At 42.8% G+C, this 15,380-nt stretch overlaps 1 protein-coding gene across 1 annotated transcript, besides 1 other annotated feature; it reads left to right on the forward strand.

Annotated features, from left to right (window-relative positions):
• Positions 1 to 9,369: 9,369 nt before the first annotated feature.
• On the forward strand, positions 9,370 to 10,308 carry OR8S1 (olfactory receptor family 8 subfamily S member 1). The gene has a single exon (NM_001390849.1). It carries the CDS (start codon positions 9,370 to 9,372, stop codon positions 10,306 to 10,308), a length of 939 nt encoding a protein of 312 aa, NP_001377778.1.
• Positions 9,875 to 10,075: a silencer, noted in NCBI's record as "peak1721 fragment used in MPRA reporter construct". NCBI's record gives its function as "represses an SCP1 promoter by STARR-seq MPRAs in K562 erythroleukemia cells {active_cell/tissue: K562}" and the evidence as "EXISTENCE:reporter gene assay evidence [ECO:0000049][PMID:32103011]".
• Positions 10,309 to 15,380: the final 5,072 nt, after the last annotated feature.

Consider the following 15,380-nt stretch of genomic DNA (forward strand, 5'->3'; position numbering starts at 1 on the left):
GATGCAAAAAGTTCTATATTTTAAAAGATGTTGCCAACAATTTTGGCCAGACATGTTTTCCCTGGACTTATTAATAGATGTTAGAACAGATATGTTATCATTAGCCACCACACCACACCTGCATCCCAATGTGTACAGGAAATCTAAGAAGACAGGGAGTCTACGATGTTCTCATTCTGTGGAAAAGTGCAACATTCAACTCGGTCACAAAATTGTTCCCCATATGTTCCTCTCCATGCCTGAATTATAGAAATGTCTGAAACTCTGGTAGAATAAAATATCATTCTTCTATTTGTGGACATTTGATAATTTAAACATATTATTTAAATTGGAAAATGAAGAACCTTGCTAGTGTTATAGAATCTCAGTGATTATTACATTTTAAATAGAGAAAAATAAATAAAATGGACCTGCAGTTGACCCTAGAACAACGCAGGTTTGAACTGCATGGATCTACTCCTGCCACTCCTGAGAAAGCAAAACCAACCCCTCCTCTTCCTATTCCTCCTCAGCCTACTCAGCCTGAAGACTATGAGGATGAAGACCTTTAGAATGGTCCACTTCCACTTAGTGAATAGTAAATATATTTTATCTCCTTATGATTTTCTTAATACATTTTCTTTTCTCTAGCTTACTTCACTGTAAGAATACAGTATATAATACATATAACATACAAAATATATGTTAATCAACTGTTTAGTTATTGATAATGCTTCTGGTCAACTGTAGGCTACTCGTAGTTAAGTTTTGGCAGGGCCAAAAGTTATTCACGGTGGCTGGGTGCGGTGGCTCATGCCTGTAATCCCAGCACTTTGGGAGGCCAAGGCGGACGGATAACCTGAGGTCAGGAGTTCAACCTGAGGTCAGGTCAGCCTGGCCAATATAGTGAAACCCTGTCTCCACTAAAAATACAAAATTAGCTGGGCGTGGTGGTGGGCACCTGTAATCCCAGCTACTCAGGAGGCTGAGGCAAGAGAATCGCTTGAACCCGGCAGGCAGAGGTTGCAGTGAGCCGAGGTGGCACCATTGCACTCCAGCCTGGGGGACAAGAGCAAGACCCTGTCTCAAAAAAAAAAAAAAAGTTTTTCATAGATTTTCAACCATGTGGGGGGCTGGCACCCCTAACCCCTTTGTTGTTCAATGGTCAATTGTACAAAATTTTGATATACACATACTAAGTCCACTGGCAACAGAGTAATACCTCATTACACAGAAACAAATGTATGGTAGATACTAAAACTGATAAGGCCCTATAATATAAAATATAGCCAAATATGAAAAAAAACAGCTTAAAAGGAATAAATTATTCAAAAAATCATGCTTAATATATCAATGTCTACTTGTTGATAAGCACTTTTTAGAATATGATGTCCAGGAGAAAATGCCTGGTGGATAATTTCAGTGGTTAATAATCCCTGAAATTATCAAATTACACAAAGGAGAACTATATACCAAGGTATTACAAGGAACAGTATGTTTCTATGCAGAATTTGTGTTATGACTGCATGAACGTATCATAAGAGAAATTTTCTATCAGCGAAAAGGAAATTTATTTATTTTAGAGTCAGGGTCTTGCTATGTTGCCCAGGCTGGAGTGCAGTGGTACAACTGTGGCTCACTGCAGCCTCAAATTCCTGGGCTCAAGTGATCCTCCCACCTCAGCCTCCAGAGTAGCTAGGACCACCGGCATATGCCACCACACTCAGCTATTTTTTCTTATTTTTTGTAGAGACAGGGTGTTGCTATGTTGCCCAGGCTGGTCTTGAACTCCTGGCTTCAAGAGATCCTCCTGCCTCAGCCTCCCAAAGTGCTGAGATTACAGGCATGAGCCACTGTGCCTAGCCCCCAGGATGTATTTAATGCTAACTCAAACCTTTCTCAGGCCTTTTTTTACAAGCTCACCTCATTCCAATTGACCATAATCACAACTTTTCTTACTCTTCTTGTCATTGATGTTCCCCATGTAATCCCTCTTCTCAACTGCTACTAAAAATCAAACCGCCAAACAAAACATTCAGTGAGCATTATAACTGTAAACAACAGAAGGTGCCTTCCATGAATAATAGAATGTTTCTGTCTTGCATTCCTGGACTTAAGGTGAGGCACAGGCTACAACTCCAGGGGCAGGGCTTCCTTAAAATCAAAGTCTGGGCACAGGGGTGGCCTGTTGTAATCATTCTACTTGGGTGCTGGTTATAGTCAGTGTACTGGTATCACATGGATGACCATGATTGAGAGAAAGATACCAGAAGGCACAGGTAAAGTCCCTATAATGGAAAAAGAAAAGGGTAAGGCAGCATAACTGCACAAAGGCAGCCCTATGCCTCCAAGGTTCAGCAGAGCTCCTCACATCACAGGGCTATTCCCTGCAACTTCAATGTTCTCACTCAGTTAACCATATTTTCTGACCACGTTGAGGATTCCATCTGGTCTTCAGAAGGCTAGAGAATCTGGTTACTTATAAGCTGACCCATTAAGGATTAATCGCTGTTAATAATCCCAGTACCAAACTGCCATCACACCATTTCAAAAAATTTTTGTAGGAAATTCTGCAAGAGAGATGACCAAAGAGGCAACATAAATGATTGAGAGAGATCTTCAAAGCTAACAGTTGATCTATTTTTAATTTAACCTACTTTTCTATGTATTTTTATTATTGCAGGAACAACAATGTATTTTTTTTTCTTTTTTTATTTTATTTTATTTTATTTATTTAATTTTATTATTATACTTTAAGTTCTAGGGTAGTTGTGCACAACGTGCAGGTTTATTACATACGTATACATGTGCCATGTTGGTTTGCTGTACCCATTAACTCATTAGGTTCATTTACATTAGGTATTTCTCCTAATGCTATCCCTCCCCCTGCCCCCCACCCCATGACAGGCCCCTATATGTGATGTTCCCTGCCCTGTGTCCAAGTGTTCTCATTGTTCAATTCCCACCTATGAGTGAGAACATGTGGTGTTTGGTTTTCTGTCCTTGTGATAGTTTGCTCAGAATGATGGTTTCCAGCTTCATCCATGTCCCTGCAAAGGATGTGAACTCATCCTTTTTTATGCCTGCATAGTATTCCATAGTGTATATGTGCCACATTTTCTTAATCCAGTCTATAATTGATGGACATTTGGGTTGGTTCCAAGTTTTTGCTATTATGAATAGTGCCGCAATAAGCATATGTGTGCATGTGTCTTTATAGTAGCATGATTTATAATCCTTTCAGTAGATACCCGGTAATGTGATCACTGGGTCAAATGGTATTTCTAGTTCTAGATCCCTGAGGAATCGCCACACTGTCTTCCACAATGGTTGAACTAGTTTACACTCCCACCAACAATGTAAAAGTGTTCCTATTTCTCCACATCCCCTCCAGCATCTGTTGTTTCCTGACTTTTTAATGACCGCCATTCTAACTGGTATGAGATGGTATCTCATTGTGGTTTTGATTTGCATTTTTCTGATGACCAGTGATGATGAGCATTTTTTCATGTGTCTGTTGGCTACATAAATGTCTTCTTTTGAGAAGTGTCTGTTCATATCCTTTGCCCACTTTTTTTTTTTTTAATTGATCATTCTTGGGTGTTTCTCACAGAGGGGGATTTGGCAGGGTCATAGGACAATAGTGGAGGGAAGGTCAGCAGATAAACAAGTGAACAAAGGTCTCTGATTTTCCTAGGCAGAGGACCCTGGGGCCTTCCGCAGTGTTTGTGTCCCTGGGTACTTGAGATTAGGGAGTGGTGATGACTCTTAACGAGCATGCTGCCTTCAAGCATCTGTTTAACAAAGCACATCTTGCACCGCCCTTAATCCATTTAACCCTGAGTGGACACAGCACATGTTTCAGAGAGCACCGGGTTGGGGGCAAGGTCATAGATCAACAGCATCCCAAGGCAGAAGAATTTTTCTTAGTACAGAACAAAATGGAGTCTCCTATGTCTACTTCTTTCTACACAGACACAGCAACAATCTGATTTCCCTATCTTTTCCCCACATTTCCCCCTTTTCTATTTGACAAAACTGCCATCGTCATCATGGCCCGTTTTTAATGAGCTGTTGGGTACACTCCCCAGACGGGGAGGCGGCCAGGCAGAGGGGCTCCTCACTTCCCAGAAGGGGCGGCCGGGCAGAGGTGCCCCCCACCTCCCGGACGGGGCAGTGGCTGGGCAGAGGCACCCCCCACCTCCCTCCCTGACGGGGCAGCTGGCCGGCCAGGGGCTGACCCCCCGCCTCCCTCCCAGACGGGGCGGCTGGCTGGGTGGAGTCTGACCCCCACCTCCCTCCCGGACAGGGTGGCTGGCCAGGTGGGGGCTGCCCCCCCACCTCTCGGATGGGGCGGCTGCTGGGTGGAGGGGCTCCTCACTTCTCAGACGGGGCAGCTGCCGGGCGGAGGGGCTCCTCACTTCTCAGACTGGGCGGCCGGGCAGAGACGCTCCTCACCTCCCAGACAGGGTCGTGGCCGGGCAGAGGCGCTTCTCACATCCCAGACGGGGCGGCGGGGCAGAGGCGCTCACCACATCTCAAACGATGGGCGGCCAGGCAGAGACGCTCCTCACTTCCTAGACAGGATGGCAGCCGGGAAGAGGCACTCCTCACTTCCCAGACTGGGCAGCCGGGCAGAGGGGCTCCTCACATCCCAGATGATGGGCGGCCAGGCAGAGACACTCCTCACTTCCCAGACTGGGTGGCGGCCGGGCAGAGGCTGCAATCTCCGCACTTTGGGAAGCCAAGGCAGGAGGCTGGGAGGTGGAGATTGTAGCAAGCCGAGATCACGCCACTGCACTCCAGCCTGGGCAACATTGAGCACTGAGTGAACGAGACTCCATCTGCAATCCCGGCACCTCAGGAGGCCGAGGCTGGCAGATCACTCCCGGTTAGGAGCTGGAGACCAGCCCGGCCAACACAGCGAAACCCCATCTCCATCAAAAAAATACGAAAACCAATCAGGCGTGGCGGCGCGTGCCTGCAATCGCAGGCACTGGGCAGGTTGAGGCAGGAGAATCAGGCAGGGAGGTTGCAGTGAGCAGAGATGGCGGCAGTACAGTCCAGCTTCGGCTCGGCTCGGCATCAGAGGGAGACCGTGGAAAGAGAGGGAGAGGGAGACGGTGGAAAGAGAGGGAGAGGGAGACCATGGAAAGAGAGGGAGAGGGAGACCGTGGAAAGAGAGGGAGAGGGAGACCGTGGAAAGAGAGGGAGAGGGAGACCGTGGAAAGAGAGGGAGAGGGAGACGTGGGGAGAGGGAGAGGGAGAGGGAGAGCTTTTCTTTTATTTTTCTAAGATACTTTTGTTACAAAGAGTATAAAATATGTATGTGCAGTTTAATAATAATTTAAAATGAGCAACCTCAGACTCTGACATTTGTGAAGCAGTCTCTCATTAAGGTTTAAATTACACCTCCTAATAATGTTCATCATTTATTAATTTGCTTATTGGCTATTTAGAAATCCTCTTTTGTAAAAGGACCTTTTAACTGTTTTTCCTATTTAAATTTGTATTTGAAATTTTATTACTTATTTGTAGTACTTCTTTTCATATTCTATGTATACCCCCATAACACACATATATACTATATTTATCTTCACTCAATCTTTGGTTTGCTTTTTCACTGTCTTAATGTTGTCTGTCAATGAACAGAAATAATTTTTATTTTATTCAGTCCAATTAATTAATCTCCTGTTTTAAAAAATAACCCACAAAAGAGTAGATAATAACAATTGCTCATGATGGTTTATTAAAGCAAAAACCACTATAACACTTTCAATATACATTATTCAACTGCAACATACACACATATACACATGATCAAAGAGGTATGCATACATTTTTATATATGGGGATATACATTTTATATATAAGTATGCACTTTATATATTTACATATATAAATCTTATCAAATTTCAAGGAACTCTTAAATATACACATACATACATATATAAATTCTTAGATACATCTATGAATAAATGTTCTAATCAATAGATGAATAAAAATTAAAAACTTTAAATTCCTTACCAACAAGGAAAGCAAATGTTTTAAAAAATTGATTGATTATTCTAAATATCCTTAAGTTGTATTTGTTTTGCTTAGTTAATAAGTTGAGCCGAGTGCAGTGGCTCATGCTTGTGATGCCAGCACTTTGGGAGGCCAAGTTGAGTCCAGGAGTTTGAGACCAGCCTGAGTAATGTGGCAAAACCCTGTCTTTACTAAAAACACAAAAAATTAGTTGGGTGTGATGGCGCATGCCTACAGTCGCCCAGCTACTCAGGAGGCTGAGGTGGGAGAATCACCTGAGCCCAGGAAGTCAAGGCTGCAGTGAGCCGTGTTTGCACCACTGTACTCCAACCTGGGAAATGGGAGTGAGAGCCTCTCTCAAAAATAAATTGGCAAGGGACAGTAGGAAATAATCTTTTGCCAGAGAGTCTAGTTTGAATAAAAACATTATACCTCATTGTAAATAAATAAATACAAATTTTCATTTATACTACAGTCTGTTACTACTTATGACTCTAATAAACTATTAAACCAATGCTTCCCTAAATATCCCTATTCTGACCAATCAAACTGTAACAGGTTCCTGTGTAGCCATCAAAATGGATCGATCAAAGAAAATATATTTGAACAGACTTTATGCAAATGAATGTTTGTGAGCTTGTGAACTTTTTTCTTTTTAACTATTTGATCAAAAAATCATTTTTCACAACAAATTTGCCTGGAGGTGATTTCACCTGAGAAGTCCCAGAGAGACTAGGCTTTAGAATGTCAGTTGAAAACTATTTCTTTCCTGCTTGGGGAACAAAACACCATTTTCAACTCCCACTAGATTCTAAGGATTTAGATTTAATGATTATAGGCCATTGCATCAATCTAGATGTTCCAAAGGCCACACCTAGGAGATCCCCATTGGTCCTTATAACAATCAATGTTATTAAAGTTCTTTCTTATTAAATCTGACTTCGTATTGTGACTACAGAACATAAAAGCTGTTCTCCTGTCCAACAAAGGCAATCACCTGAACCGGCAACCTTAACATAGCTGCACTGCAGATTGGTTAAACCAAACTATACTGCATATAAATGAGACATTGGTTTCAGAAACAGGAAAACTAAAGGATATTTTAGAACCTTTGAAAAAAGGACCTGCCCTATGGCTATTTAACTTATTAGTGTAGAATTCACTAAAGCATTTTATCATCAATAGGACTTTATAAACTCAACCATGAAACAATATTTTAAAAGTAACCTTCTCCAGTTCATTGTTATTTTTAGCAGAGGCAGCTAAATAAAAATCCTGCAGCCAAGTTGGAGAGAAGATTGCCGTACTGGACAGGATGTACAGGCAATCTGTATTTGGGGCATGGGAAGGATTTTGAGGCTGAGTTTCTAGATTAAGATTTAATTAGTAAAGATTCAGATGTCCCCCTTGGCTGGGCTTTGAACTCATCAGGAATAGCCAGGACCAGGAAACTGATGGGGACATCATAATGAGTCCTATGGGTGACCCAAGGTCAGACTTAGGATGTAAGGCCAAAGCTGGGAGTTATGAGTAAACATTCACTGTTCAAGGAAATAGAGCACTGTTGTAACCCAGACCTGAAGACTCATGAAATACATACTTGAGGGCCATGAGGGAGAACACATTCTGGCCATAAGGGAGAAATCTGGCCATAAGGGAGAAATGATCAGAGAATAGTGGGACAGGACATCCCCCTGTAAGGTAGGGATTACCAGCAGCAGGCATTTCCAGCAGAAACTAGATGCTCAGAGTCCAACTTTGCAGTCCTACAAGATGAATTCCCAACTTTTTTCCTATTGTCTGAGACAGTGGTCCAGAATCTGCAGTACTGCACAGAATCCTGGCTGTTGCTACACCCTATATACCCACTCATGTATTCCTGTATCATGAAATCCTTTCAAGTCTTCCTCTTGCTTACTTGTCCAGAGATTCCAGGCATTCCTGGGATACACATCTTCCCTAGTAATTATATCGAAGATTCCCCTAGGTGTCTACATGAGTCCCAACCAACTTCTCTCCCACTTGTCATGTCTGGAGTCTGCTAGCAATACCTATTAGGAGGAATTACATGCCCTCCTTTCTGAATGACAGCATCCACAGTAACTGCAAAGTGGCTTATCTCTTAAAAAAAAAAAAAAAGCCTCCACACCAAAATAATTCCTCACCTCCTGTTTTTCTTCTAATTGAGGTAATGAGCAGGAGTGGGCTTCTACCAGTAATGATTTCAATGTGATTTTCTTACTAAAGGCACAAAGTAAGAATAACAACAGCAGCATTAGCAGAAACAACTTTGATTTTTGATAGTGCTTCACCCTATAGGAGAATTTATCTGAGTTTTATCTAGACTTACAAACTTAATAAATAATTTTAATAATAACAAATGTCAATGAACAGTTAGGAGTAGGTAGTTTGAAGCGCCTTATATATAATCTCATACTTAATCCTCAAAACCTTACATAGTACTATTATATGCATTTTATATGCTAAGAAATTGAGATACAGAGCTTTGTGTATATTGTACAAGTCATATAGCTAATTAATAGTACAGCTGGAATGTGAACGTAGTCTGACACAGGAGTCCACTTAGCCATTGATCTGTGTGGCTCAATTATACTCTAAGCATCAGCTTTTCAGAACTACCCATGTTTTACTGAACATGACTTGATTTTTCCTCAGTCTTGAGTGTTCGAACACATTCTTCATGCCAATTAATTGTCTCTTTGATATTTATTTTCCTAGGTCAATCATATGCTTGCTTTCTCTTTTTTTTTTTTTTTTTTTTTTTGAGACAGAGTTTCGCTCTTGTTGCCCAGACTGGAGTACAATGGCACAATCTCAGCTCACCACAACCTCCACCTCCCAGGTTCAAGTGATTCTCCTGCCTCAGCCTCCCAAGTAGCTGGGATTACAGGCGTGAGCCACCACGCTCAGCTAATTTTGTATTTTTAGTAGAGACAGGGTTTCTCCATGTTGGTCAGGCTGGTCTCGAACTCCGGACCTCAGGTGACCCACCCGCCTCGGCCTCCCAAAGTGCTGGGATTACAGGCATGAGCCACCGCGCCCGGCCAATCATATGCTTTCTTTAAAAATGTGTTCAAATTTCTTCAATGTATTATCATTACTGACCCCTATATAAATCAAAATTTGAGCTCTCTTCATATTAATTACACTGTTACAATTTCTTGTTTTCACATCCATGTTCTTCAGTGGACCATTTAAAGAGCAAAGACTACACCTCAATCACCTTTATGTTCCATGTGACCGATATGAAAAGAGAATCAGTACCATGAGAAAACTGTCTGGAGTAATCTTGACTTGGCTGCTATGATTTTACGAGTTATTTCTAGGGAGTAGCCTTTGTAAATGGCCTTGGGGAATCACAGCACCATCACCGAGTTCCTCCTCCTTGGGCTGTCTGCCGACCCCAACATCCGGGCTCTGCTCTTTGTGCTGTTCCTGGGGATTTACCTCCTGACCATAATGGAAAACCTGATGCTGCTGCTCATGATCAGGGCTGATTCTTGTCTCCATAAGCCCATGTATTTCTTCCTGAGTCACCTCTCTTTTGTTGATCTCTGCTTCTCTTCAGTCATTGTGCCCAAGATGCTGGAGAACCTCCTGTCACAGAGGAAAACCATTTCAGTAGAGGGCTGCCTGGCTCAGGTCTTCTTTGTGTTTGTCACTGCAGGGACTGAAGCCTGCCTTCTCTCAGGGATGGCCTATGACCGCCATGCTGCCATCTGCCGCCCACTACTTTATGGACAGATCATGGGTAAACAGCTGTATATGCACCTTGTGTGGGGCTCATGGGGACTGGGCTTTCTGGACGCACTCATCAATGTCCTCCTAGCTGTAAACATGGTCTTTTGTGAAGCCAAAATCATTCACCACTACAGCTATGAGATGCCATCCCTCCTCCCTCTGTCCTGCTCTGATATCTCCAGAAGCCTCATCGCCTTGCTCTGCTCCACTCTCCTACATGGGCTGGGAAACTTCCTTTTGGTCTTCTTATCCTACACCCGTATAATCTCTACCATCCTAAGCATCAGCTCTACCTCGGGCAGAAGCAAGGCCTTCTCCACCTGCTCTGCCCACCTCACTGCAGTGACACTTTACTATGGCTCAGGTTTGCTCCGCCATCTCATGCCAAACTCAGGTTCCCCCATAGAGTTGATCTTCTCTGTGCAGTATACTGTAGTCACTCCCATGCTGAATTCCCTCATCTATAGCCTGAAAAATAAGGAAGTGAAGGTAGCTCTGAAAAGAACTTTGGAAAAATATTTGCAATATACCAGACGTTGAGTTAAAAAACAAACATTGTTGGCCGAGCACTGTGGCTCATGCCTGCAGCAGGAGGATTGCTTGAGCTCAGGAGTTCGAGATTAGCTTGGCCAACATGGTGAAACCCTGTCTCCAAAAAAAAAAAAAAATAGGCCGGGCATGGTGGTGTGCACCTGTAATTCCAGTTACTTGGAAGGCTGAGGGAGGAGGATCACTTGAGCGTGGGAGGTCAAGGCTGCAGTGAGCTGAGATTGCACCACTGCACTCCAGCCTGGGCAACAGAGCAAGACCCTGTCTCAAAAAAAAAAGATTTTGGAAAATTTAGGTCAAGCTGCATACAACATGACACTGGATAAGTTTATAGTAGTAAGTATTCCTGGCTACCCTCAGTGTCTGATACTGCAAGCTGTAAATTAGAAGTGCATGAGAGAATGGTACAAAGTTATTACAAGTAGGAAGGTTAACTTTAATCCCTCTTAGTGACAAAGCAAATTATTAAATTATTACCTCAATAAAGTTTTGTTATGAACATATTGATTCATTTTTCTCATTCTAAAACATTCATCTTGGGCTTTGCATTTAGTAAAATCATTAGCGTCGCAAATCTATCATTATTTTTAATTTACTTTGGTGAACACACTAAAAGTCATGGCATTTAATAAGAACACAGTGTCATGGATGCGTGGGAGAGAAAAGTCACTAGATAAGACTTGATGGGAAGAAAGAGAAAGATTTCCAACCGTGTGGCCATAGAAGACATAAACACCTAAGAGAACTTCAGAGAGGGAATCAACATACTGAGGCAGAACTTGGACTCAGATAAAATTCCCAAGAACTTCACTGTGTGTGCAGCTTGGTGGCCAGCTCTCCGGTGCAAAAGATTGCAAGGAGGCTCTGTGGCTCTAGAAACTTCATTCCTCACATGGTCTTCATTCACTGTATACGGGATTTATATTTTTTCCAATTAGCTGATCTTATCAGTGTGTCTTTTCCTTGTAGAGTGCAGGCTATGTACCCTAGACAAATAATCTTGTTTTGACCTCATCTCAAGTGAATCCTGAAACTATCTTTGTCTCATCTTTCATTGTTTAGTGTCAGGTGGTTTGCCGGTTCTAAGGGCACTGAAAAACTCTCACGTAATAAACATTTTTTCCTATAAAACAAATGCTTCTGATTTGTTTAAGCTATATTTTACAATTGCCTAACTTACTGTAGTTAACTGAAAAGGTGCAAAAACTATCTACAAATTATTGAATTTATTGAATATTAACTTGCACTTTTCTCAAGCTTCTTTCACAAACTCTCTTCGTTCTAATTGTCAGTTTTAAAAGCTTTTCATGAAAAAAACGTATCTGTTACAAGGGGGAAAGAAGCCTCCGGGACAGCAGTCATTTGCCTCAGCTGCACAAAGGCCAGGCCAGATGGAAGAGACCAGCCTTCACCGAAGGCCGCAGGGAGCCCGGACACCCGGAGCTGAGCATTCCGGTCACGCCTCAACCCCAAGGGGCCTGCGCATGCTCCGCGCTGCGCGCGGCGCCCACGGCCCTGCCCTGATACGCAGGAGCCCCGGGATAGAGAAACCCAGATGAAAACACAAGCCCAGTGAGATGTTGGCCTCCTCATCTGCTACCCTCGCCGTCACCTCTGCGCACCAAGCCTTCTGTCCCGGAGAAGAAGCCGTATTTGGTCTCCCTCGATGGGCGAGACCGGGGCCACGCGGGCACCGTGATCCCGCCACTGCATCCCGGGGACCCGCCGCTCATCCTGGAGCGGCTCAGGGCCGTTTAGCAGCTTCCGCAGGTGCTGCCTGGCCCCCGTAGACACCAAGCCAGCTTATCAAAATTAAGGCAGAAGGCCCAGCATTCGGTGTCCACACACCTGGACAAGCAGGAATGGAATCCTACAATGCGCAAAAACTGATTGCGAAGTGGCCTGAGGCAGAGTGTTTTTCAGTCAGGGACGTTGAAAGCTGGAGTTGACGGGGTTCTTTATCAGATGGTGGATCCAGAACTAAACCACATCCCCAGGCCACCAGTGGAATGAGCAATTCACGAGATCCTGGGCGCCCAGAAGACAGCAATGGTGCCAGTGCCCCCTCCAGAGCCCAAAGACCAGTACCCTCCAGCCTTCCATCTCAGGGCGCTTCCCAAGAATATGTCCCACCCGTTTTGAAAGCTCCATTTGAGTTAATGGTGAAGAAGTAGCTTCGGTTACATGGTTACATAAGAGTGCAACTTCAGAATGAAGATAGGCCGAGGTCTCACTGATTTCGGTATTTCAGCCTTGACTGTGGGCAGTGTCCAGTTTGAACGGGGAGAGAGTTTGACGTTGGGGAAGTTGACTGTGTTGTCCCCTTCGTTGTGCCGCCATTTGACCAGCCTGTCCAAAGGTACAACGCCCAGTAGACACTACAGGGAGATAGAGAGACACTGCAGCAACCTGAGGTTGTCCTGAGACAAACTTTTATACTTGAACATGGAGACTGCACATGGATTTTGGGTTTGTGCTCTGTAATACACAAAAGCTACAATTAAAGAACATAACCAGTCCCAAAGATAATTTCAAAGAATAACGGCAATTTAAGAGGTAGCTGGAAGTGGGGATTTGACAGTGCTTATTTGACGTTACTTCTCAGAGTTGCAAACTAAAATGTACAAACCGTTAGCATCAGATATCTTGATGGTTGAAGGTTGTTATGACCTTCCTGTACATGAATCTTTTACGTTCCCTTTCCCTTGTAAGAGGTGACAAAACATGGAACCCTAGAATGTGTGAGGAAGCTTGGACATTAGGTATAAGGAAAAACATTTGCAAGCTGTCTGTCCAGGGCCTCTTCCTGTCCTGCAAGGGCTGGTGAGTCTTGGGTGTGTTTAGTTTATTCTCATGTTTGTGTTATTTGAAAAAGTGAATGGTCAATAAATGGCTTCAGATTTATAATAAAATCATTTGATACTAAAAGAAAGAAATTTCACTAGGAATTTATCCTGAGTAAATCATCATGAATATGCACAAATGTATTTTTACAAAGATGTTTATTTCAATACTATTTATAGAGGTTAAAATTTTTGTAGCAATCGCCGGGCACGGTGGCTCACACCTGTAATCCCAGCACTTTGGGAGACCGAAGTAGGCAGATCACCTGAGGTCGGGTTCAAGACCAGCCTGACCAACACGGAGAAACCCCTTCTCTACTAAAAATACAAAATTAACCAGTCACGCTGATGCATGCCTGTAGTCCTAGCTATTCGGGAGACTGAGGCAGGAGAATCGCTTGAACCTGGGAGGCGGAGGTTGCGGTGAGCCGAGGTCATGTCATTGCACTCGGCAACAAGAGGGAAACTCCAATGCAAAAAAAAAAAAAAATTGTAGCAATCTAGATGTCTAACAATATGGTTTTTGTTACATATATTCTACTACATCCAGAGAAATATTTCATTACACGGAAACATTCATGATATACACTGTTAAGTTTTAAAAAAGTATATCACAACTCAACATGTAAAGTACAATCTGATTTACGTTTTTATAACTATATTTATTTCTGTCTGTATAACTATGTCATTGTAAATTTATCTATCTACCTATCCATGTTTATATCTGTCATTATTGATATTGCCACAGAAAAAAATAGACACCTCCAAATATTCATTTCTTAATAATGTACAAAATAAAAAATACCCTCATCTGGCCATTGATATTTCACAAATGGTGTCTCCTCTCAACTGATACGCCAGAATACCCTAAACACACTATATATTCCAAACACAACAATTCAAGGCCTGATTTGCTTTCTTTGGCCTAAGATGAGGCATCAGTTAAAACCCCAAGTCAAGCTTCCTATGGTGAAGGAGAGTAGAAATACCTGAACCCTGGACTTGAAGTTGGTTATAGTCAGCGCACAGATGTCACAGGAGGATAGTGATTGAGAGAAAGATACCAACAGACCCAAATTCCTTTTAGCATAAGTAAAAGACATTAGATCATAACTGCATGAAGACATGTCTACAATTCTAGAGGCTCAGCAATGGTCTCCCCATTGCAGGGGCAATGCCCTTGAACTTCAATGCTCACATAACCCCACTGCTTACTATACCGCCCTTCAGTAAAAAGACCCCATCTAGTCCTTAAGGAAACTCTTCTTGTAATTCTCTCAAGGGTTTTTATGTTGTGGCCTCCAGAAATATGAGGAGACCTTGGCTATATATTGACCCTCCCAAGAAGTATAAATAACTGTTGACAATCCTAGCATATACCTGAGTGCTTATTAATGAGAGATTGAATTTATAGGGAATTTCTGAGCATTAATTTCCCAGATACACCGTCACCTTAAGAGGCCTGAAGTTTCCTCCTACAAGACAGATGACAAAAAGGGTGCAAATATACTAGAGACAAAACCACGCAAAGTAATAGTTCATGCTGAGGTTTTTCAATATTATTCTAGCTTCATTGCACTATTTGCTGTTTTACTATTAAAGCCTTTGCAAACTATAAAATTTCTTCTGTCTTTTATCCTCATAAAACATATCACACTTAAAAAGTATGTACTAAACATGTACATTCCAGTTAAAGAATGATTACAAATGAATGTACATGTACCCACTACCCAGCTTTAAGAATTATTCATTTTATTCCAGGCATGGTGGCTCACACCTGTAATCCCAGCACTTTGGGAGGCCAAGGCAGGCAGATCACGAGGTCAGGAGATCGAGACCATCCTGGCTAACATGGTGAAACCCCGTCTGTACCAAATATACAAAAAATTAGCCGGGTGTTGTGGCGGGCGCCTGTAGTCCCAGCTACTTGGGAGGCTGAGGCAGGAAAATGGCGTGAACCCAGGAGGCAGAGCTTGCAGTGAGCCAAGATCGCTCCACTGCACTCCAACCTGGGCGACAGAGCGAGACTCCGTCTCAAAAAAAAAAAAAAAAAAGTTATTCATTTTACCACCCCTCCTCTACTACCCAAAACTAATCACTACCCTGGATTTGTTCATCATTCCCCTTGCTTTGTCGGGGATCAGAACATGATACCCCAAAATGTGGCACTTTAGCATACTGAGTATTTTAAGCAGAAGGAAACAGAAAACCCCAGAATCA

The sequence above is a fragment of the Homo sapiens genome, chromosome 12, assembly GCF_000001405.40.
Source record: "Homo sapiens chromosome 12, GRCh38.p14 Primary Assembly".
Classification (NCBI taxonomy): Eukaryota; Metazoa; Chordata; class Mammalia; order Primates; family Hominidae; genus Homo; species Homo sapiens.

Bases quoted from the DNA above. Each gene is read 5' to 3' on its own strand.
- OR8S1 (NM_001390849.1), top strand. From the start codon at position 9,370: ATGGCCTTGGGGAATCACAGCACCATCACCGAGTTCCTCCTCCTTGGG.